The following is a 24,175-nucleotide window of genomic DNA, read 5'->3' on the forward strand; positions in this document are numbered from 1 at the left end:
CGGAGCAGGGCACTAGTCTTCCCTCTAAGCTGCCATTGATCCACTTACCCGTTCTCCACCACCTGCTGTCCAGGCAGCCAGGGATTCCCCTAGTGTATCACGATTTGATCCCTACTGTAGCTTGCCATGAAAGTACCTTGGGAGGCTGGGCACAGTGGCTCACGCCTGTAATCCCAGCACTTTGGGAGGCCGAGGCAGGAGGATCACCTGAGGTCAGGAGTTCAAGACCAGCCTGGCCATCATAGTGAAACCCTGTATCTACTAAAAATACAAAAATTAGCTGGGTGTGGTGGCAAGCGCCTGTAGTCCCAGCTACTTGGGAGGCTGAGGCAGGAGAATCACTTGAACCCAGGAGTCGGAGGTTGCAGTGACTTGCGATCGCACCATTGCACTCAAGCCTCGGCGACACAGCGAGACTCTGTCTCAAAAAAAAAAAGTACCTTGGGAGATGTTCCAATTGCCTTTTTGAAATCAGGATTCTCAAGACTTCAACAGACCCCTGATCTATTGCAATTTTGGTTCTCCCAAAGCAAGAGAGATGAGAGATTAGCCTGACTTATTTTAAGTAAACCTAGGCTGGGTCCTGGTGATCACTATGTTTTATTCTTCTTTAATTTTTTTTTTCCTAGCTGGGATTTGAACTATATTCTTCTTTTTAAAATGATATATACCATTCCTTTTCTGCTGTCTTTGTTAATGCCGTTAAATTGGAAGAATTTTCAGTGATCAGTGAAAAGTCTCAGTTAGGAATTATTAAATTAACACAGGCTTCTTGCCTACTTGCTGTTGGCTGAAAATAGTTTAAAATACTTAAGTGAAAACTTTTCTCTACCACAGGAAATTTGCTTTCTGAGTGAATGAAGGTTTTCTATAGGAAGATAAATGTTCAACCTTCTCTTCTGACTCATTATAATCGTGGAATGGTAAAATTCAAGTAACTGCTGTTTTGTAATATTGAGTCAAACATTCACTTTAAAAAAATGTAACAATACTGTCTTAATAAAAGCTTAGCTGTATATTCTTAAGACTTAGAAGACTTTGGGAGGCCGAGGCGGGCGGATCACGAGGTCAGGAGATCGAGACCATCCCGGCTAAACGGTGAAACCCCGTCTCTACTAAAAATACAAAAAATTAGCCGGGCGTGGTGGCGGGCGCCTGTAGTCCCAGCTACTTGGGAGGCTGAGGCAGGAGAATGGCGTGAACCCGGGAGGCGGAGCTTGCAGTGAGCCGAGATCCCGCCACTGCACTCCAGCCTGGGCGACAGAGCGAGACTCCGTCTCAAAAAAAAAAAAAAAAAGAAAAGAAAAGAAAAAAGAAAAAAAGACTTAGAAGATAAGCTTGACTGATCATGATTTTCAAAGTTTTATAAGATTACTGAAAATACAAAAAGCCAGTACAAGAGGAAGCATAATGAAATCCAGCAGGAATAATTTGTAATTAGAAAACCCCATGCAATTCTTCAGCCAGGGATAATGGTGATCCATCTTAAAAACACATGTGTCCCATGCTGAGCACTGATGAGCCTAATCAGACACACTCCACTGACATTTTTCACAATACCAAGGGGTCCTTAATTGCTGGGGGGTACAGGCAGGCAAGCTTCTCGCTGCTCCTCTCAGGAGATCATAATGATTAAGAGCAGGCCTGGAGCCAAACAGCCAGGGGAGGCATCCCAGCCCTCCTCCAACTCAACTGTGACTTTAGGCAAGTCACTTACCCTTTCTGTGCCTCAGTTTCCTCATCGTTTTTTTTTGAGACAGGGTCTTGCTCTGTCACCCAGGCTGGAATGCAGTGGTCCAATCGTGGCTTACTGCAGCCTCAACCCCTAGGGCTCAAACGATCCTCCCACCTCAACCTCCTGAGTAGCTGGGACAGCAGGCGTGTGCCACCATGCCCGGCTACCTTTTTTAATTTTTTTGTGGAGACGAGGTCTCCTGAAGTTTCCCAGGCTGGTCTCAAACTCCTGGCCTAAAGTGATCCTCTTGCCTTGGCCTCCCAAAATGTTGGGATTACAGGGGTTAGCCACCGTACCTCATCTTTAAAATTATGGCTGGCCGGGTGTGGTGGCTCATGCCTGTAATCCCAGCACTTGGGAGGCCAAGGCAGGAGGATCACCTGAGATCAGGAGTTCGAGACCAGCCTGACCAACGTGGCGAAACCCCATCTCTACTAAAAATACAAAAATTAGCCGGGCATGGTAGTGCACGCCTGCGATCCCAACTACTCAGGAGGCTGAGGTAGGAGAATCGCTTGAACCCCAGGAGGCAGAGGTTGCCGTGAGCCAAGATCACACCACTGCACTTCAGCCTGGGTGACAGAGTGAGACTCCATCAAAAAAAAAAAAAAAACAAGGCTGAGAATCATCACCTTTCAGGGTGATGGTTGTGAGGACTGATTCAGCCACTATGTGAAGTCGGTCTGACCCACAGTGTGTCTCTCCTACACCCCAGTTGCTACTGGGGTTCTCAGGGACACAGGATGATCCACTTCCCTGCCCCCATGCCACTGCCTGTTCTCCTCGTTAGGGATACTTGACCCTGCCAGAAGGTCCAGCCCATGTGGAAGGGCATCATGCCCACAGTGGCCGTACCCAGAGGCCCTCTTCTCCTCAATACCCCTTGGTCCCCCAACCCTGAATCACAAGCTGGCTCTGGGCCAGCTGGCCTGCTGGTGATCTGCCTTGGCTCCAGCATGGGTGGCTTGGCTCCAGCAAGAGCTTAAAGGTTCTTCATTGTGTTTTCTGCTTCAGTGTAACCATCTGGGAATTGGAAGAAGAGGGAAAAATAAATACAATGTTCCCCCACTTCTACCTTCTCTGCCTCCCCCCATGGCTGGGTACAAGGCTGTGTACTGTCCAGCATTGTCTTGGGCCTCAGGAAAGCTCCCCCCAGAGGTCCCCTGCATGGTGTCCCGTGGGATGGGAGTCATCTGCTGCACCTCCACCATTCCTCCATCTGTCTCCCTCTTTTTGTGCCCTTTCCTGGCTCAGCCTCTCCTGCCTGTCAAGTTCAACAGCTCCTCAGCACTTACCATGTGCCTGGGCAGAGCACTGGGAGCACAGAGATGATGTGAGCAAGGGCTCTGCCCTCCAAGTGCTCATTGTATAGCACTGAGAATATAGACTGCAGCATACACAGCCTGAACCAGACTCTCTTCAGTAACCTTGGATCAACTACTTAACCTGAGGGTCCACCTCTGTATTTAAAACTTGTTGTCCCAGCTACCTGGGAGGCTGAGGGCCAAGGTACCCACATTTCAGGACCATTGTGAGAATTAAACATAATCCTGTATGCAAAGCTCTCAACTCAGTGCACTGCACACAGTGGGTGCTCAATCGCATCTGCCTGCCTTCCCTCCCTCCCTCTTTCCCTCTTTCCTTTTAGCCAGTTGCCTCTTCCAGAGGAGAAGGTCTGAAGGTCTGAACAGGGTCTATGGGCAGAGGTGGAGCCCTGCCCCTAGCAGGGCTGGGGCAGTGTCAGGTGGGCCTGTGTGGGGCCAAGCCAATGCTGGGCAGTCAGGGGTGATGACCAACCAGGGCTCTGCCTGCCAGATGCTTTCTTTCGGAAGTAGACTCAGTCCTCTGACCTCCTTTCCTCTCTCCCAGTGGCTAATTAGTGCCGATTGTGGGCTCCTTTTTAGCCTTTCCTTTTCTGAACTTCCAACTGGCTTCTTTTTCCCTTCCCCAGGGCAGGGATGGGGACACACTGGCAGGGCAAAGCTAAGGCCCCAACCACAGCCAGTCCTTGTGCTAAGAACAGGGTGAGAGCTGCCTATCCTGGCTGAGCTGTGGGGGCTGCTGAGACCCAGAGTTTGGGGTTGCCCCAAGGGAACTTCTTGCCTACACAACCTGCTTTTCATCCATCTGTTCTGAGGTTCATGTCCTATGTCCAGGAATATGTGGGACAGCCAATAATCAATGTACTGGCCAGGCTTCAAGGTCTTCTTGCACACTCACAGCCTTCCGGTGAGTGATGAGCTCATAGAGATCCCCAGGGGTATTATACCCGTATGGGGTTGGGGGAAGCTATCCCAACCCAACCTGGGGCTAAATGCTTTTTCTATCACTCTGAAACGCAGTCAGGGAAATCCAGTGACCTAGAACCAGACCCACTGGGGGAAGCCAAGAATAGGTCATCCTGGTAAATAGCCAACATGAGGCTGGGAAGGGAGACGTTCTGGGGTGGCGGAAGCCCCTAGTTCTGGAGGTACGGGCTAGTGGCAATAGATGATCTGTCTGCAGAGTGGAATCTCTTGGGGCTCCATCATGAACCCGGAGCTCCAGTGCTGCAGTGGCAGGAAATTAATTGACAGTCATTCATATGAGTCCCAGGACCAAGGGTTAGCAGCAAGGGGGTTGAGACCCAAGATGGGACTCAGACATCTTCAATCACTAGGAAAGGACTGCAAGTGCCATGAAATGGAGATGCTCCAGCAGGAAAGAGAGGAGAACTGCGGCAGCTGAAGCTAGGCAGGGCTGTCACTTCCAAAGAAGCACAGATCAATGGAAATGGGAGGCCTGTCAGAGCAATGTCTTATAGCAGCTCTGAGCAGAAGCAGAAAAGGAAAGAGACTAAGTGGGGGAGGGGGCAAAGGAGGCATCAGGATGGCTTCCTGGAAAAAGAGTGTCACTACAAAGGTCAGAAAAGCTTGTGTCAAAGATTCGGGAGGTGAACTGGAGGTGAGCTCACCGAAGGTTCCAGAGGTGAGCTCCAGGGCCCGCACTGTGGATAGCTCTACATTCTAGGTGGGTGCTGGGCAGGGGGTGATTCTGGAATTACTCGGTGCCAAGGTGTCCTCCATGCACCAGCTCCAGCAAGTGGGAGGCTGCCACATGTTCTCATCACGCCTTCTCACCTGGAGTCAGAGCCTGCTGCCTGATGGTCCCTCTGTTAATGGCTTCCAGATGTGTCCTTGGGCCCCTGGAGGGAGACTTCCTGGAGGACACACCCCCTCCTACCCAAGCCTCACCCCTCTGATCACCTTCAGTCACAGAGCCTGGTGAAGGCCATGGTGCACTACTGCAGTATCACATTGTAGATGAGAGGGGCACGGAAGGTCAGACTGCCCGCTTCTGTGATTGGCTACTGACCTCTGAGCCCCTCATCACTGTTATTTCTGGCTCCTAGGTATCTTCAGTGCATAGGATCCAGCTGGTAACATGAAAGTTGTCCATTGGAGTATGATGGCTGAGTGGGCCATGGGCAGTGGCTCATACCTGTAATCCTAGCACTTTGGGAGGCCAGGTGGAAAGACTGCTTGAAACCAACAGTTCAGGACCAGCCTGGGCAACATGGTGAGACTCTTTGTCTCTACAAAAAAATTTTAAATATTAGCCAGGTATAGTGACACGTGCCTGTAGTCCCAACTACTTGGGAGGCTAAAGCAGGAGGATCGCTTGAGTCCAGGAGTTCAAGGCTGCAGTGAGCTATGATTGCACCACCGCACTCAAGCCTTGATGACAGAGGAAGACCTGTCTCAAACAAGCAAGCAAGCAAGCAAGCGCACAAACAAACAAACAACAACAACAAAAAAATGGCCAGGTGTCCATATCTCTTTGGGGAGACAGATTGGCCATCCTTGTGAGACTAGTGTGTCTGTGCCTGTTGGTTTCTGATTGTGGGCCTGTTCCTTTCTGCATCTCTGTAACTCTCTCTCTGTTTTTGTAATGACTTGATTCTATTTCTGAAGCTATGTGTCCATGTGTTTCTCTATTTCACAGCAAAACTTTTCTTGACTATAACCACAAATTCCATCAGTGCTTATTGTCTAATAAATGGAAGTCCAATATTGCCCTTCCTGCTTCACATCCCTAAGGCGTAAAATTTTCATTCCAGAGTTATTTCCAGCCTAGATAGGGGGAATCTGATTCATGTTCTGCTGGGGATGACTTGTACCCAAGAAGGCAGGAGGCTTGTAACTGATGAACTGCAAATAGCAGGGGTGCCAGAATCACTCCTGCATGGCTTGGAGCAGACCCCAAGGCTCAGACACTTTGCAGTCACCGGGTCCATCTCCCAGTATTCTCCTGGTCCAGGCTAATGTGTAAGGGAGTGTGTGCTCCTGGATCTGAGTTTTACCAGCCACCAGCTTCATTCATCACCATCCGTGCTATCATCACCATTATCACCCCCACTCTCCCACCACCAACACCACCACTATTACCATCACCATTACTAACACTACAACTATTATACCACAATCTCTGTCACCATCAACACCTCTGTTCCATTACTAATGTCAGAGATTTGTAGTTGCTTTTCAATAGCTATTTCTTCTTCCTCCTCAGTAATAAGGACCATAACGTTTTGCTGGACACATTATCTTACTTAGCCTCTTGAAGCTAGTTAGGTGTGCTTATGTAAGTGAAAGTGTTGAATGAAAGTATAGAAAGTGCCAATAAAGGAAAGGGGGTACCCTTATTTATAGCTTTCCTCCATCTGCTATCTGATGTGATGGCTGGTGCTCTAGCAGCCATTTGGACCATGGCAATGAGAACTATAGGGAAGGCAGAGTGGGAGGCTAGAAGGATGTGAGGTACTCATGACTATGGAGAGACCATTCAGACTCTGGGCTACATCTGGACCTTCTTTTATGAGAAGAAAAGAAACTGAACTTCTATTTCTCTATCATTTAAGAAATTCATGTGGGCATCCTGACGCATATAGTTGAAACTAATCCTAATTAATATGCATCATCATCACCACATATTATTTTGCATTTAATAGTCCAGGCTAATGATCTGTATATGGGGGAGGGTGAAACAATGGAATGTGGGGAATGTGGGAAGTGGCCAGTCTGATGCAGTCACTGGCAAGAAGGAAAAAGACATTCAGGACCACGGACAGATCCAGGACTGCCAGTTGTGAGGCAACAGGGCAGGAAGAAATGAGAAGTGTGGTTGGTGGTGCCAGTTGTTGTCCTCAAGATATGTTCTGGCCAGACACTGTGCTAGGAACTGGGATGAATACTAAGATAAATTTCCACAAAGTCCACATTTGGCTCCCAGGACCAGAGCAAGCAGATCGATATAGGAAGGCTTCCTAGAGAAAGGGACTGAGAAGCCAGCTGAGGGGTGGAACCAGAAGACTGTGACAGAATGGGCACAACGCTAAAGAATAAGAGACACCTGTGGGTGGGGAGAGGGCTCAACGTTGAAAGATGAGTGGTCACCTGGTCTGACAGTGAAAGGAGAGGGTACCATTGGGTGGGAGTTAAGGCGTTTTCAGGACTCTTCTGTTTCTTGGATTCTACATCAGTGGTTCCAGTTTCTGGTCCTGGGGTTCCACGATGCTGTGACTGTCAGGGCATATTGGATCTATGACCAAGATTCTACAATGATGAGGTTCTGCATCCGTTATCTACTGCTGTGTAACAAACCACCCCAAAACTTAGTGACTTAAAACAACCACCATTTTATTTGTTCACAATTCTGTGAGTCAGAAATTTGGGCTCGGGTCAGCTGAGTAGTTCTGTTGGTCTTATCTGGGGTCACTCAGGTGGCTGGAGGCAGGCGGAAGACCATCAGGGAGCTGGTTCATCTCCAGCTGGGATGGTTTACTTCTGGTCTCTTCCTCTAAAAGGCATGCTTGTGTTCCTACACATGGCAGTTTCAGGGGAGCAAGAAGAGGTGAATCCCAATGCACAAGCACTTTTTAAGACTCTCCTTGCATCACATTTGCTGACGTCTCATTAACCAGAGGAAGTCACACGGCCAACCCAAAGTCAGTATGGGGTGGGACAACATAAAAGTATGGACTCAGATACGCAGAATTCATTTGGGACCATCAATATTAACAACCTACCACAAGCTCTAAGTGTCTCATTCACCACCACCATACTACCAATACCATAAGTCTTTGTTCTAATTCAGAGACCACAGTTCTATGGCTCTCTGAGTCTGTGGTTCTTAGCAGTCAATGTTTTGATTCCAAGATTCTGTGATTCTAGAAGCAGAAGGCTCAGTACATTGAAGAAGAGCATGAGGACCCAAGAGGAGGCTAAAGAAGTTGGGCAAACAAAGGTCACCCCTACAGAACCAGCTGCCTCTCCCATGCTCACCCCTCAGGCCCCAACTTCCTGCCTGAATCAGGGAAGTGGCATGAACACGGAGTTGGGAATCAGAAAACCTAGATTATAGGCCCTGTTCCATCATTAATCTGGGATGACCCCAAGCACAGCTCTTAACCTCCCAGTGTTCTCATATAGCCAACAGAGATATCAATCCCTGTCTTCTGAATAATGCAGAACAGTGGCAAAACCAGGAGAACTGGGCCCACTAACTTCCATGATCAGGATCCTGGGCCTGGGCACAGCTGAGGAAGAGGGTTTTGCTCCCACCTCATTAAACTGCATCCACAGTGGTAGAGACCTTGGGTTTTAAGAGAACCAAGACAGGTTATTGCCCTTGGTCTGTCCCAACCTCTACTGGCAAAAGCAAGAAATAATGAAAGGGGAGGGGAGTGGAGGGGAGGGAAGGGAAGACAAGGGAAGGGAAGGGAAGGCACCCAACTCTGCTCCTTTCCCTTTCCCCTCTCCCCTACCCACTCCTGTCCCTGACTCAACAGAGTGGAATCCTAGGGGTCAGACCTTAGCTGGCCTTTAGCCTCAGTCGGCTCTGCCCTTTAGCCTTTCCTTGAAGAGGAGTGGAGAAACAGAGGCTTCATTAGGGAAGGAGACCTAGGCCAGCACAGCAAATCATAACATTACACAGCCAAGGGGGACCAACAACAACCCACTGGCCGAACCACCTTGCAGCACAGATGAGGAAACAGAAGCCCAGGGAGGGACAGGGACCCACCTGCCCACAGCCACACAGCCAGCCAACAGCAGACAAAGACCAAAAGTCAAGTGGGATCTCTCTCCTTTTCTAAATGTCCATTTCCCATTCTAAACTGGGACAACAAACCCAGCCTGCCACCACTTAGAAACTGTAAAGCAAGGTACAGATGTAGTAAGGAGTCATCTTTTCCAATGGTCTGAGAGTTGGGGGTTGGGGGGAAGACTGAGGTGGGGGTAAGAACATTTAGGACTTTCGGAGGACGCATCCAGCTCATTTATTCTAGCCTTTCCCCAGAGGCCCAGGCCACAGAGCGGAGGAGGAGGGTATTAAATATCAGAGAGTTATTTAAAAGCCAGTTGCCTGCCCCTCAGAAGCAGCGCTGGCCTCTGCTGACTCAACGGAGAAAATGAATCTTGGGCCTATGGATTTTCCTGTGTCTCACAGCAGTGGGGGAGGGGAGGGGGAGTGAGAAATGGGAATGGCAAGGCCCACAGTGAAGTCTCCCGTCCCTGCTGGCAAGGAAGCCAAGCAAGAGGAGAGAAGCTGGGGCCTCCCCCACTACCTCGTGGCTGAGTTCATCACGTCAGGCCGCCTGCTGCTCCTCCATTTGCCTTGGAGGAGGGGGGAACAGAGGGATGGGAAGGCAGCAGGAGGGCTGCTGGGACAGAGGACAAAGGGAGCCTGGATCTCAGGATGCTACAGCATCCGCTCCAGAAGGACCCCAGACCACCCCTACCACTTTCTTCCTCAGCCCCCCTGAGTAGCTGGGACTACAGGTGCCCACCACCACGCCCGGCTAATTCTTTTTTGTATTTTTAGTAGAGACGGGGTTTCACCATGTTCGCCAGGATGGCCTCAATCTCCTGACCTTGTGATCTGCCCACCTCGGCCTCCCAAAGTTCTGGGATTACAGGCATGAGGCACCACACCCAGCCACCCCTACCACTTTCTAGTCGGGCAACCAAGGCCTTAATTGGGGTGGTACCAAGTTCAAGGTCATATATTGAGAAGGTGGGGGCACCAACTTGGGCAAATCCCAGTATGACCTTCCCCTCCCTGACCCCCATCCCTAAAATGCCAAGGGGCACAAGACTACTAGGCCCCCCAGGACCATCCCATCCACACACACTTTTTTGCAGACAGGGAAACTGAGGTGTGTCCAAGGACTTTAATAATATTGACACACCTCTGATGACAAAACAGAGCTGGAGAAGGGGCTACCTGCTGGGTGATCTCAGGGACGTCATCACACTCTGTGCTCCCTACCAAGGCTTAGTGGAGCTGATCAACAGCAGGGTCTGTGCCAGCAGAAAAGGCCCAGCGAAGGCACTAGAGGCTCAGGTAGAGACAACACCTTGGAATACTAAGAGAAGGGCTCTGGGACCTAGTGGAGTAATAAATTCAAGCAAGCGTGAAGATCCAGTGTGGCTGACATGAGGGGTACTCATCTGGGCAAAGGGCAGATGATCACTCTGCTTGGGTGGCGAGGGGTGCCTCGCTTCTTCCGAGTCCTAAGGAAACCCTGAGGGCGTGAGCTCTTTGCCCACAGGCTCCCCTGGGATCTGACCCAGCCACACTCCCAGGAGAGAGGGATCCTAGGATGAGGGGGGGCTGCGGCAAAGGAGATGGGCAAGAAACCCGAGCTTCTATCTGGCTCAGGTCCCAGTCAGGTGTGCAACCTTGGGGAAAGCACTTAACATTTCTGAGCAGCTATCTCCTGGTATGAAGTGTAGATGAGGGGTCCTCACCGAGCTTGCCTCATAGGGATGAGAGGCTCGAGTCACAGATTTTTAAATCATTATTTCAGTCAGCAAATATTCCCTGGTGCCTTCTCTGTACTGATCCCTAAGAAATTAGACCAGACCTGAGCCCTAGCTGCTGACAGTCAAGAAGATCAGGGGAGTCTTAGCCCTCTAATTGATCAGTGAAGTTCAAAGGATGGAGAGGGAAGCCATGAGGGCTCCCTGAAGGGGGCAAAACTCACAAGTCCTGAGGGACAGCTGACTGGACTGGAGAAACAGAATCAAGAGGAGAGCACCCCAGCTGGGGCAAACAGTCCAAGAAAAGAGACTTCCACCAGATGCATCAGAGAATAAACACACAGCCTCAGACTCAAGTGGACACACATTTATTGAACACTTAATGCATACTGAACACTGGCAAATCTAAGATGGAGAGCGCTGTTCCTCCAAAGAACAGAGATCCCTCAGCCCCAATGGCTCGCAGACTTGATTCCTTGGGGAACTTGGACAGAGAGAAATTGGTTCCAGGAGAATTTAGACGGGAAGCACCTTTACAAAGTGGGAAGAGAGGAGAGGAGGCTGAGTAGAGGCCATACAGAGAGACAAGCAGAGACTCATTAACATCCACCACAAATCTGCTGTGTTGGAGAAGGAAAGAACATGGAACAGGGAAAAATGACATGGGAGCTAATTAGTCCCAGAGAGGGGCAATGCCTTACCCAGGGTCTGGCAGGACGGGTGCTAGGCCCCCAGACCCAGGTGAAATGTTTTTTCTTGTTTTGAGGCACTTTCAACTCACTTTATCATAACAGCCCTGAGAGGAATAGGAAGAACAGGAATTTAAAGCCTATCTACCTTATAGAAGAGGAAGGTGACAGCCCAAGATTGAGAAAGGCCTGAGGTCACACCAGATCAACCATGGCATCCATTCCCAGCCTCAGCTTCTTGGGGTCAGGATAAGCATTCCTTGTGGTGCAGGACCCTCTCAGATGCAGCCCACCATCTTGGACAGAGTCCTGGGCAAGGACCCTGGGGTCAGGTTTCTAGGCTAAACTCTGAAAACTTGACAGGGGCCTTGGGGCCCCTCTGGCCTATTTCCCCATTTGTGCAAAACAGACGACATTTGCCTTATTCTCTGGCACCTGATGATTCTAAATTCTCTCCAGGCCTCATTTCCCCAAATGAGGTGTTGAGCACCCCCCCAATCAAGGCTGCCTGTGGTCCTGCAGCTCCTTTCCTGGGGGGCAGCAGGGGAGGGGGGCATCAGCCAATCTGAGGCCAGCCACCACCGGGGCCTGGGGAAGGAGTTCCAGCCTTGGTAGTGGTCTGATTCCTCAGGGCCTGGAAGCAGACAAGGAAACAGAGACTTCTGTTCATTCAGTCTGTCATTTGCACCACACACTCTCCTGAGATAGTCTCTATACTGGAAACAGAAAAGTGAAAACGACCTAGTGCCTCCTACCAGGGGAGATGTCAGAGCTGGGGCATGTTGCTGTGTGGGCCGGGGTTTAGGGGAGGGCTATAGCTGGGGGCCCAGCCCCAGTGGCATCTACTTGAGCACGTGTGCCCATGTGAGAAAAGACATCACCAGCCTGTTACCTCCACAGACCAAGGGCATGGTGCAGGGCAGGAGGAGTAGGGTCTGACTGTGCTAGCCAATCGCTGGGTCCCTATGCTTGGCATGGCTTAAGCATGGGCCTGTAAGCTTGCCCTCTGAGAATGTATCCACGAACCTGCATGGGCTCAGAAGTGTGCATATTCAAATATGTATGTCTTTATGAATTTATGGACACATGCCAGGACGCACTCAAACCTACGATCCTATGTCCACATATGAATGAGTCTGCATGGACTTGCATGAGACACATCTGAGCTCTCATACCTGGGAGAGTTAAGACAGGGGGTAGGGAAGAGAGAGGGGCTTGGAGGAGGGGAGAGCTGGGAGACCCCCATCATCACCAGCTCTGTTCCTTAATGTTGGTCCTTGCCCAAGACCCAGGCCACTGCAGGGTCTGCCTCTTCTCCTTAAGTGGTATTGATCCTTTGGTCGATCTGTTAAATATAACCTCAGGGAAGGAGTCAACATAACAACCGTACCCAATTCAGGAGAAAGAGACTGATTCTTGGGAGGAGGTGGGGAGCCTCTATTCCAACCAGCTCTGCTGATACCCGAATGGCCTGCGGATCAAGTGTCAGCCTCTCCAGCCTGAATAATTCATGCTAAGGCCAGGAATCCTCCCTTCTCAGGAGCCTGTCTCTTTAAATCAGGTTTAGAGCTTCCCAGTTCTGGGGGAAAAAAAATCCAGAACAAAACAAATCTGTAAACAGCTCAGCCCCCCCACCCTCAGCCCTGGCCCCTTCTGAGACCCCCAACTCCATGCTGCAAAATCTGCTCCTGCTCTCCCAACCTCTGGTGCCCCAAACCCCACTCACAGGCGGAGAAGCCTGGAGGGACTAGTTGACAGTGTCCAACGGAACCCCAGGAGTCTTAAGAGGTTTGGGGGCAGGGAGTGAAAGCAAAGAGCAGAATCACTACACCCCCGGGTCTCTGTGCCTAGGACAGTGCTTGGCAGAGAAGCCCAGCCCGGTGGAGGAAACCACACGGGGGAACTCCTGGCAGAGGCAGAGCAGCCAGAGTTGGTGGGTGGGAGGGGAGCGGGTGCCACAGACTTCTCCTGAGAATGGGATGGGATGGGATGGAGAAAAAGCTGGTCCCATAGGACCTGCAGGGGTGGTGACACAGCCAGGTCTAATGGAACTAGGGTCGCAGAGGAGGAAGCAGAGACTGGGGATTTTCCAGTCTCTCTGCCTTAGGAAGAGGCCGGAAAATGAGTAACTTTCTCAGCCCACCCCTCATCCCTTCCTCCGGTAGTAGGAGCAGCTCTAAAGTCCTCCCCAACCCCCGAATTCTCCCTGGTGGTGACCCACCTGCCTGCTCTCCGCAGTCGGGCCCCGCCCCACACGTGCTGGAGAAGGAGGAGGAAGGACCCAGCTTAAATGTTGGGGGTGGAGGAGGAGGAAAACCAAGTCGGAGCCTCCAGGAGCCAAACTTCTCGGCAGCCCGGAGGGGCGGGGGCGGAGAGGATGAAGAGAAAGCGCAGCAGCCGACAGCCCTGATTCTCGGGAGCCTCCCACCCCGCCTCCCACGGCGAGGAGGGCGCGGAGACTCCGCTGGGGGCGGAGGACGAGACCGGGAGGCGGGGAGGGGGGAGGCAAACCCTGCCCACTCGGCTCGGAGCCCGGAGCGGCCGCGGAAGCCGGAGGCCGGCGCGCAGGGCGAGGGCACCGGGGGCGGGGGGCTCCGCTCCCCGTCTGACCCCTCTTGCCCCCGGCCAGTCAGCCAGTAAGTGCGGCTCCTCAGACTTTCGAGACAGCGAACGGACCGACCGGGACTGCCAGCCGCTCCGGGTCAAGGACTCGCCCCACCCGTGCCCCCCACCAGGCGCTCCCAACTCACTGGTGAGCGCGGCGGCCCGGGCGCTGGATGCGGGGGCGGCCGCGATGGCCCCGCGCGCGGGACAGCCGGGGCTCCAGGGGCTGCTGCTCGTGGCGGCGGCGCTGAGCCAGCCCGCGGCACCCTGCCCCTTCCAGTGCTACTGCTTCGGCGGCCCCAAGCTGCTGCTGCGCTGCGCGTCGGGAGCCGAGCTCCGCCAGCCTCCGCGGGACGTGCCGCCCGACGCGCGCAACCTCACCATCGTAGGCGCCAACCTGACGGTGCTGCGCGCGGCCGCCTTCGCCGGCGGGGACGGGGACGGCGACCAGGCGGCGGGCGTGCGCCTGCCGCTCCTGAGCGCGCTGCGCCTCACGCACAACCACATCGAGGTGGTGGAGGACGGCGCCTTCGACGGGCTGCCCAGCCTGGCGGCGCTCGACCTCAGCCACAACCCGCTGCGCGCCCTGGGCGGCGGCGCCTTCCGCGGGCTGCCCGCGCTGCGCTCGCTGCAGCTCAACCACGCGCTGGTGCGCGGCGGCCCCGCGCTGCTGGCCGCGCTGGACGCTGCGCTGGCACCGCTGGCCGAGCTTCGCCTGCTGGGCCTAGCGGGCAACGCGCTGAGCCGTCTGCCGCCAGCCGCCCTGCGCCTGGCGCGCCTGGAGCAGCTGGACGTGCGCCTCAACGCGCTGGCCGGCCTGGACCCCGACGAGCTGCGCGCGCTGGAGCGCGATGGCGGCCTCCCCGGGCCGCGCCTGCTGCTCGCCGACAACCCCCTGCGCTGCGGCTGTGCCGCACGCCCCCTGCTGGCCTGGCTGCGCAACGCCACGGAGCGCGTGCCCGACTCGCGGCGCCTGCGCTGCGCCGCCCCGCGGGCGCTGCTAGACCGGCCGCTACTGGACCTGGACGGGGCGCGGCTTCGCTGCGCGGACAGCGGCGCCGACGCTCGCGGAGAGGAGGCGGAGGCCGCCGGCCCGGAGCTGGAAGCCTCCTACGTGTTCTTCGGGCTGGTGCTGGCACTCATCGGCCTCATCTTCCTCATGGTGCTCTACCTAAACCGCCGCGGCATCCAGCGCTGGATGCGCAACCTGCGCGAGGCGTGCCGGGACCAGATGGAGGGCTACCACTACCGCTACGAGCAGGACGCCGACCCGCGCCGCGCGCCCGCGCCCGCCGCGCCCGCGGGCTCCCGCGCCACCTCCCCGGGCTCGGGGCTCTGAGCGGCGCCCCCGGGCTCGGGGCTTCCCTTGCCTGGCCCGAAGCCGTGGAGATGAGACACCCGCGAGCCCCGAGCTCTGAGACCTTCCCCTGACTCGGAGGCGCTAAGCCGTACCCTCTCGTTCCCGCCTCCGAGAGCTCCCACCGTCAAAGACCCAGAGATAGCCGGTCCGAATCCAGAAACCCCGCCTGCCCACCCTAGTTTCCGAAACCTCCCTCCTGAACCACTGAAAGTCCGTTCCCCGTCTCGGAGCTCACACAGAGAATCTGTCCTTCAAGGCCAAAGCTCTGAGACTTGCCCCCAGCACCCTGTGCTTGGAGCTCCGACACCCGAGACTGCACTGACCTCCCTCGCCAGCTCGGAGCCCTCAGTCCCCTCCGGGGCTTGAGGGCCCTTCCATCCCATTCTGGACTCGAAGCACAGCACCCCCATCAGAATGGTTTTGTGGATTTTGAGCCCTTTGTCCCATCCCAGAGCTCAGAGCCCTCCATCCTGCATGGAGGCCCAACCCTGGGGCTCTGAGGATTGGGCACCCTCCCCTCATCTAAGAATATATTTCATACCCCTGCCCCCCCTTCACCCACCCCCGCCTCTGGCTCAGGCCCTTCCCTTCCTCGGCTCAGGCATGGGGCTCAGCTCCTAGTCTGTCCCTCCCATCCCAGGGACAAGCACAGCCCATCTAGCCTTAGTGTGGAGCCAACTCTCAGCCTTTCCCACCAGGGCGCTGACCTCCCGATACTCAGTGCTGGTCCCCAGTCTCAGACTCTCAGCTCTTCACCCCGATCTGACTTTCGTCCTCCTGCCCAAGCCTTTGGCTCTTGACCCCCCCCCCATACCCAATGCTGGCACTCAGCACCCACCCCTGCCATTCACTAGTCAAGGTCCAGTGAGGAATCCGTCCCTGGGATGTCCTCATCCCCTTTTCGTCCCAGGACGAGCTCTTCAGTCCTGCCGGATAGGTGCAGGTGCCATGCACCCCTAGTGCATACTGGCAGATCCTTGTAGGGAAGGAGAGAGTCTTGGGTGTGTGAAAGGGATAGTGGGGCATCGTGGCCTCAGAGAGGGGCAGGAAGTGGGGTCTGAAGGGCTGGAAGTTGCTGCCCTTCGATTTCTCTATGCTCTCTCCCACCCCTGTGGCTCTTCGCCCTTGGGGATTCCTTGCCACCACCGCTACCACCACCACCTCACCCCGTGTATCTTCTGAAAGAGAAGTAGGTCTTTCCTCCTGCCTCAGGCACAAGCCCTCCTGGTTCAGGGTCAGAAGCTCAGCACCTTGCCTTCTCCATGATCCCAAAGCACAATTGGTGAGTGGGGGAGAGGACCCCCTCTCCCTGACTCCCCACCCTCTAGATCAGGCAGAATGGCTGGCCTGTGCTGCGTCTGCACACAGGAAGTCACCTTCCTTTAATATATTGGCTTGAGGCCTGCCTGCCCTCCCCATACCCAGAAAATCTGGATCTCCCTTGAGCAGTTTTCTATAAAGTCTGCAATAATCTCAGATACTCTACTCTTGTTAGTGGTGCCGTATCATTCCTGCTGACCTTGGAGTACTGATGGGGGTGGGAGGGGACTCTTGGGAGGGCATTTTGGACTTCTTTTTGGTGGGGCAGTGACCCTTGATGCGTTCTCCCAGACTGTGGGAGGAGAAATGGGTTCTGATTGCACATAGCAGGATTAAGGTTAGATACATGGAGGGACTTCCCATTGGGATGACATTGTTCCCCAAGCCAGCCTGCTTTCTATCATCGGAGGAGGGGTTATGCACAGCCAAAGTGGGATTCGACACTTCCTCTACATCCTCTTCCCTCCCGTTCCTCATCTTCAGGATGGGGATGGAGTTAGACTAAGAAACATTAGCCTCAGCCAAGACCATCCGGGAGGAAATCCAGCTACAGAGAATGAGGAGTTAATTCAGACAGGAAAGAGGGATTGTTTGCTGCTTTGGGATCATCCCCTCTAATGAATTATTATCTGATACTCCTTTATGTCCTGTGTCACTTCACACTCTCCTGGCCAGAGGGTAAGACCTGCGTGTTGGGTATGTGAGAGGCTGCGTGTGGGGAGTGTGGATGAAATGACTCCTTGAGATATGTGAAGCCAGGGGACCGGAGGGCCAGGAGGGCCTCCAGGTCCCCAGGCTGGATTGTTTTGCATTCAGGGTCACAGAGCCCTAGAACCATAGGGCAGAAGCCTAGAATTCTGGCATTTTCTAATTTCAGGGCCACATAATTCTAGAATGTGTGCCTTCTAACTATTGAAAAGGACTGCAGAGGTAATGTGGGAAGCCTCCTAAGCTGTCTCAACAGGAGGCATCATCTCGTGATGGGAGGCTCCCTCCCTCCCTTCCTTTCAGTGTCTGAGGAGCCTGCCTGGGACTCTGACAGCCCCAGCTTTGCCATGGGGCCAGGAGCACCCCTCAGCCCAGGACAGCTCTTCACAAGTCAGAGACCGTGCATGGGGCTCCTTGTCTTTTCCCGGCACGCTCTCTACCCCTTCTCCAAGTCATTCCTCATGAGAAAGTATTAAGTCCTCTTGACACATTCCCCTCTGTCAATGACCTCCAAAGGGTGCCCCGCAGTCCCCCAGGACAATATAGTGATGGTCTCTCTAACGCAAGTTAGAGCTTGTTAGTTGATTTTTGATAACTATTGATTTAATACTTAGTTTAGCAGTAGCTCTCATAAAACCTCAAAGATTTTTGCTGACAACCCATAGCTAATTGCAGTTTCACTTGCCAGGACTTACTGTAGTCTTAAGCTACATTAGCAGAGAGCATGTCCTTGGAACTGAGGAGGTGATCTGTAAATCTGTAGATCTCTCCAGTTCCAACGATGTATGTGAGAGCTACTGCTAAGTATCAAATCAATAGTCATCAAAAATCAACAAATTGAGTGTCTACTGTGTGCCAGTTGGTGTTTAACGTTAGTACCATTCACTGATCCCCATTAAATGTCTTTTCTGGGCTGCCATCCTCCTTGCTGTCTGTCAGTGGCCTATAGCCTTATGGGGCTATCAAGGTTCAGGGCCGCCAGCTTCACCTCTTCTACAAACCCAGCCATTCACTCAGCCCTTACTGAATGCAACTCTGCCAGTCCTAGAAAAGCTAACAATCCAGGGAAGGAATCACATTTAATCAAGATCTGGAGAAAAGAAATCCCAGGAAATAATGAGAGCTCAGAGTAAGAGCCCTGACCCCACCTAGACAGACTTCTTAGAGGAAGTCACATTTGAACTGGGTTTTGACGGATGAGTAGAAGTTTGCTGAACAGAGAAAGATCAGAAGTACCAACTTCTGCAAAGGTCTGGAGGCAGGAAGATCTCATTAGCCTGAGGATTGAAGGCCAGCAATGGCTGGGGGTAGGTAGGAGGATGCGTATGGGGTAGAATGGATCTACTACATTCACCACATTCTCCACTGGGAAGCGCTAGAGGGACCTCTGCCCTTGAAGGAAGAGTCAGGAAGGTAGAGAGGTGTGATGGGGGCACAGGCAACTGCACTGTGCCTCCTGCTTGTAAAGCCTGGTTGTTCCTTCCTTCTGCCCATCCTTTTTGTGCCTGGCCTCATGCTGGGCACTGGAGACACAGAGAGGAATCAAACCAACACCATGGCCAGATGAGGGCAGTGAGAGAAGGGAAGGGGAGGGGAGCCCGGAGAAGCCTTGCAGTAAAAAGTGAGATGGAGCAGCCGACTGGCCCTGCCCAGACTCCCTGACACCATCCACTCCAGACTCTTTCTCAGAAGTGCCAGGACCCCACTAAATGGCCAGCCTCCTCCTCTGATCACACACTGGGAGTGCTGTTGGAGTGTGAGGTGAGCAGAGGCCCAGAGGCCTGGGGCCTGCCTGCAGAAGCCAAATGACAGAGGAAGAAATCTACCTCTAGGATGTCCCCTTAAGGAGCAGGCATGGTAAAGAACAGGAGAGGAGAGGACAGGTGTGTATGACTGTCAGAAACGTGGGAGATGTGAAGCCAGCTGCACACCTGGAGAAATGTGGCAGACTTCCCAGGTTCTGTGACCTCAAAAACACTGTGAAATTGCCTTTCAAAGACGTCTCCTTGAGAAGCCTTTTGCTTCCAAGCCCCCTCACCTACTCACACCCTCAGACCTGGGCTGGGAACCAGGGAGGACCTAGCTAGAGTCGAGAGGACTGGGTTTGAGTCTGAACTCAGCACCTGACTTGTCATGTCACCTAGTCCTTAGCCAGAAATACCAGTTGAGACCCTACTATGTGCCAGGGTCTGGGGATTCAGCAGTGACCACAGCAGAACCAGCCCCTGCCTTCCTGGCCCAGCCTGACACTGTGGCCTCGGACACCCCTGCCTGCCTCTGGCTCCGGGTTCCTTCTGTCCAGGCTGGGGCTGGACTTGTGACCTCTAAAGGCACTGCCTGCTCTCCCTGAAGTCCATCTCCTTCTTCATTAAGCCGCTGCCTGGCAGACTCTCGGCCCTAATTTATGGGTATGGCCTTTCCCAGACTGGGAGAAGTGACGGGGGCAGTTAATATTCCTGTGCTAATAATACACTTGGCTGCCTTCTGAGTCCCCCCTCCACCCTTCACCCCTGCCTCACCACCCCCACCTGCTTCCCTCAGCACTGTCACAGGGCGATTTGCCAGGAGCTGGCCAGGCCCATGCAGACCCTCAACTAACCCTTCATTGGATGGGTGGGGAAACTGAGGCCAAGAGTATGCAGGAGCTCGTCCAGGTCACACAGATTGTCAGGAGCAGATCCCGAGCCCAGGATGCCCCAGGGCTACCCCTGCTCTGCCCTGGGTCTGAGCGTCTGGCAGAGCCACCCCGCCTCCTAACTTGCTATCTCCACCCTGTCAGTGCATCCAGGAGCCAGTCCCAAGCCTGAGGTAGCCTGAAGATGAAAATAAGAAAGTGAGCCGTAGAGGGTTGGAAGGACTCTTCAGCCTCTGTCAGCGGCTCCGGACAGGCCTCAGGAGCCCCATGCCAGCATCTTGCAGGCAGCGGCCCTGCTGGGAGTTATGTCTCCCCTCCCTGAGAGGAGAAAGGGGCTTGTCTGGACCTCCAGGCTCTGAGGTCCCAGGCATTAAACTCATTCTTCCTGAGCTTCTATCATCTGAGCATGAGGCTCACCTGGATGAACCAGATCCTGCTCCTGTTCTCGATCAAGATGGTGACCACACACACAGGACACTGTGATCATGGAAGCACAGGGATCCCAGGGAGGCCCCTAACTTAGGGGATCATCCAAGCTGGCAAACTCGGGAGTGAAAGGGGCCACTATTAATCATTACATTGGAGCAAGAATAAACTAGGACTGGCTGGGTGCAGTGGCTCACGCCTGTAATCCTAGCATTTTGGGAGGCCGAGGTGGGTGGATCACCTGAGGTCCGGAGTTCAAGACCAGCCTGACCAACATGGTGAAACCCCGTCTTTACTAAAAATACAAAAAATTAGCTGGGCGTGGTGGCACATGCCCACTCGGGAGGCTGAGGCAAGAGAATCGCTTGAACCCTGGAGGGGAGGTTGCAGTGAGCCGAGATTGTGCCATTGCACTCTAGCCTGAGCAACAAGAGCAAAAGTCTGTCTCAAAAAAAAAGAAGAAGAAGAAGAAGAACTAGGACTGTACCAAGATGCTGGGCCCTGGACTTCAATGACTTTTGACAAGACCTGGAGAGAAAAGAAAAAGTACTAGACTGCTAGACAAGACCAGCAAATCTACCAGCAATAAATAACGAATACACTCCCCTTCTTTGAACCCTATTTTCCAGCTGCACCAAACTATGGGGATGTTAGTAATAGGGCCCAGCTCTTCCATGCCCTGTGCCTTTGCTCACACAGTACCCTCTGTCTAGGATGCCTTCCCCAACACAGGGAGCACTCAAGACAGCCCAGGAGTCCCCCAGTCTTTATGACCCCGCTGTCTTTCTCCTACTGCTGTACCACCCAGAGCTTTCTTTCTACGGACTGGTTTCCTTGCCTCTTGTCTGCACCAGACCAGAAGCTCCCACAGGACAGAGGCCAGACCCAGTCACTTTAAGTCCCCAGTCAGGGTGCACAGAGATTTGTGAACGCTCTCCCAGCCCCTGCCCCCACAGAAATACAAAACACAGAGGAAGAAGCATCACGCAGGACTCTGTGGCCTACCCCTCTGCACGTTGAATGGGTGCTTCCTTTGACTCCCACAACCCCCCCATCATTAAACTGGGGTTTCGATTATATAAGATCCCAGGATGGCTGACTCCGTTGTCTACAAAGTGAGCGAGCAGAAAGAAAATGCAGTTTTAGAATATGTGGTCATGCAAAACACAATTTAGTCTTAGCCTCTTAACTTTGGCACTGATTTATTTGTTTATTTATTTATGAGGTCGGCCTCTGTCACCCAGGCTGGGAATGCAGTGGCGTTATCATAGCTCACTGTAACCTTGTACTGCTGGGCTCAAGCAGTCCTCCCGTCTCAACCTCATAAAGTGCTGGGATTACAGGCATGAGCCACCGCGCCTGGCTAACTTTGGCTTTTTAATACAATTACAACTTCTGGCCCTGCGTTTGGGATCTTTGTCCAGGGCTCTGTTTGGGCAGCCCCTGCTACTGGCTTAGTCTTGGTTCCTCCCCACAGGGAGCTGCAGCGACATCTATTGGCCGATCCGTGTGGGAGCCGAGTCAGCTTTAACTTTTCTTGGTATACATGCGTCATCTGCTGGTGGAGATGGGAAAGTGCCTTTCTTCGTTCAGTCAACAATCCAACAAGTATGTAAGTGCCTGCTGTGTGCCAAGCACTGTGCTAGGAAGATGAGGATACAATTTTAAAGAAAACTAGAGCCGGGTGTGGTGGCTCAGGCCTCTAATCCCAGCACTTCGGGAGGTCGAGGCCGGCGGATTGCTTGACCTCAGGAGTTTGAGACCAGCCTAGGGCAACATGGCGAGACCCCGGTCTCTACAAAAAATGCAAAAAATAGCTGGGCGCAGGGGCGCCCTCCTGTAATCCCACCTACTTAGGAGGCTGAGACGGGAGGATTGCATGAGCCTGGGAGGTGGAGGTTGCAGTGAGCCGAGATCATGCCACTGCACCCCAGCCTGGGCAGCAGAGTGAGACCCCATCTCAAAAAAAGAAAAAAGAAAAAGAAAAGAAAGAAAACCAATAAGATCTCTGTCCTTATAAAACAGTAATAGTAAAAACTAACACATACAGAATTTACTATGTGCCAGAGATTGTTCTAGGTACTTTATATATATTAATCCATCTTGTCCTGATGACAATTCTGTGAAGCAGTTATTCTTATTCCTACTTCACAAATGAGGAAACTAAGGCACGTAGAGATGAATAATTTGCTCAAGATCACACTCCTAATAAGAGGCCAAGTTAGGCTTAGAACTCAGGCTCTGCTCCAGAGCCCTCTTCTTATTTAGACCATAAACAAGCACGATACTTATGAGGGAAATAAGCAGGGTAATGTGAGAGTGAGTGACAAGGAGAGGTCTCCTTTGAGTGGGGTAAGTCATGAAAGACCCCTCTGAGGGCGACCTACCCTGAAGAATGGGAAGGAACAAGCTATGCAGAGAATCTAGGAAAAGTTAATCCAGGCAGAAGCAGCAGCGAGCACAAAGGTGCTGAGACCAAATACTCAAACATCAGGTGGAAGGCAAGTTCTGGCCACTCTACTCCTACACCTCCCCACACTGTCCTTAGACTCATTCCCCACCTGGTCGCAGCTTGGACTTCTCTCATCTGCATCCCTGCCCCAGCTTCCTCCCTGTTCCCCCAGCCTGCAGCCCCCCTCTCTGGTCCCACACTGCAGCCCACACTGCAGTGAAAATGCGTGAATCTGATCCCTCTCCTTACTCTGCCTAAAACCTGTCCCACTGTCTTCTGGATAAAAACAAAGATCTTTGAGGCCAGGTGCAGTGAGTGGCTCACACATGTAATCCCAACACTTTGGGAGACTGAAGCAGAAGGATCAGAGGACAGGTGTTGGAGACCAGGCTAGGCGATATAGCAAGAACTCATCTCTACAAAAAACAAACAAACAAACAAACAAACAAAAAGCTTTTTTTTTTTTTTAACTGATTATCTGTAACTTCCACCCACTAATCAAATCTCCTGCCAGCTTTTCCAGCTCCCTTCACTCTTGTCACTCCAATGTGGTTATAGTTGCCTGAAGGCCCCAGCTTGTCTCACCCTGAGCCTCCCTGTGTGCTGTTTCTTCTACCTGGAAGGTCTGTAGCCCCTCCTTGCCTACCTAATTCCCTTTTTACCCTTAAAAACTCAGTTCAAGACCAGGTGGGGTGGCTCACACCTGTAATCCCAGCACTTTGGGAGGCCGAGGTGAGCGGATCATCTAAGGTCAGGAGTTCGAGACCAGCCTGGCCAACATGGTGAAACCCCGACTCTACTAAAAATACAAAAATTGGCTGGGCATGGTGGGTGTGTGCCTGTAGTCCCAGCTACTCAGCAGAAGAATCACTTGAACCCGGGAGGTGGAGGTTGCAGTGAGCAGAGATTGTGCCACTGCACTCCATCCTGGGCTACAGAGTGAGACTCCGTCTCAAAAAACAAAAAACAAATAACAAAAAACAAAAACTCAGTTCAAGCATTTCGTCCTCTTGGAAGCTGCCTATTTCTCATCTTGGCCACTCTGGCTAAATGTGAGACCTCTCCTTAGGTGCTCTCATGGCACGCTGTGACTACACAACAGGCCCCCTCTGCAATACTCCTCATCAGCAATTCCAAACCTTTAGCATCATGCCTTATCCCCCAATTAATCTGTAAGCAATTTGACTGAAGGGATTGTCTTTTTTTTTTTTTTTTTTTTTTTTTTCTGAGACTGAGTCTCGCTCTATCGCCCAGGCTGGAGTGCAGTGGCGCAATCTCGGCTCACTGGAACCTCCACCTCCCCGATTTAAGAGATTCTCATGACTCAGCTTCCAGAGTAGCTGGGATTACAGGCGCCCACCACCATGCCCAGCTAATTTTTGTATTTTTAGTAGAGACAGGGTTTCACCTTGTTGGCAAGGCTGGTCTCGAACTCCTGGCCT

The 24,175-nt window shown here is 52.8% G+C and overlaps 1 protein-coding gene, 1 long non-coding RNA gene and 1 pseudogene across 2 annotated transcripts, besides 2 other annotated features; 1 reads left to right on the forward strand and 2 right to left on the reverse strand.

Annotated features, from left to right (window-relative positions):
• Positions 1,287–1,625, reverse strand: ZDHHC20P3 (ZDHHC20 pseudogene 3; annotated as a pseudogene).
• LOC124902717 (uncharacterized) lies at positions 7,393–12,843 on the reverse strand. Its single transcript, XR_007062783.1, has 2 exons — positions 12,619–12,843; positions 7,393–11,070 (listed from the first exon to the last, which is right to left on the reverse strand). It is a non-coding gene; the product is annotated as an uncharacterized LOC124902717 (long non-coding RNA).
• Positions 12,844–13,746: 903 nt separating this feature from the next.
• On the forward strand, positions 13,747–16,677 carry TPBGL (trophoblast glycoprotein like). Its single transcript, NM_001195528.2, has one exon. It carries the CDS (start codon positions 14,023–14,025, stop codon positions 15,169–15,171), a length of 1,149 nt encoding a protein of 382 aa, NP_001182457.1. The 5' UTR covers positions 13,747–14,022; the 3' UTR covers positions 15,172–16,677.
• Positions 14,653–14,902: a silencer, noted in NCBI's record as "silent region_3759". NCBI's record gives its function as "represses an Ori minimal core promoter by ATAC-STARR-seq in GM12878 lymphoblastoid cells {active_cell/tissue: GM12878}" and the evidence as "EXISTENCE:reporter gene assay evidence [ECO:0000049][PMID:35858748]".
• Positions 15,033–15,112: a silencer, noted in NCBI's record as "silent region_3760". NCBI's record gives its function as "represses an Ori minimal core promoter by ATAC-STARR-seq in GM12878 lymphoblastoid cells {active_cell/tissue: GM12878}" and the evidence as "EXISTENCE:reporter gene assay evidence [ECO:0000049][PMID:35858748]".
• Positions 16,678–24,175: the final 7,498 nt, after the last annotated feature.

This window comes from Homo sapiens, chromosome 11, assembly GCF_000001405.40.
Source record: "Homo sapiens chromosome 11, GRCh38.p14 Primary Assembly".
Taxonomy (NCBI): domain Eukaryota; kingdom Metazoa; phylum Chordata; class Mammalia; order Primates; family Hominidae; genus Homo; species Homo sapiens.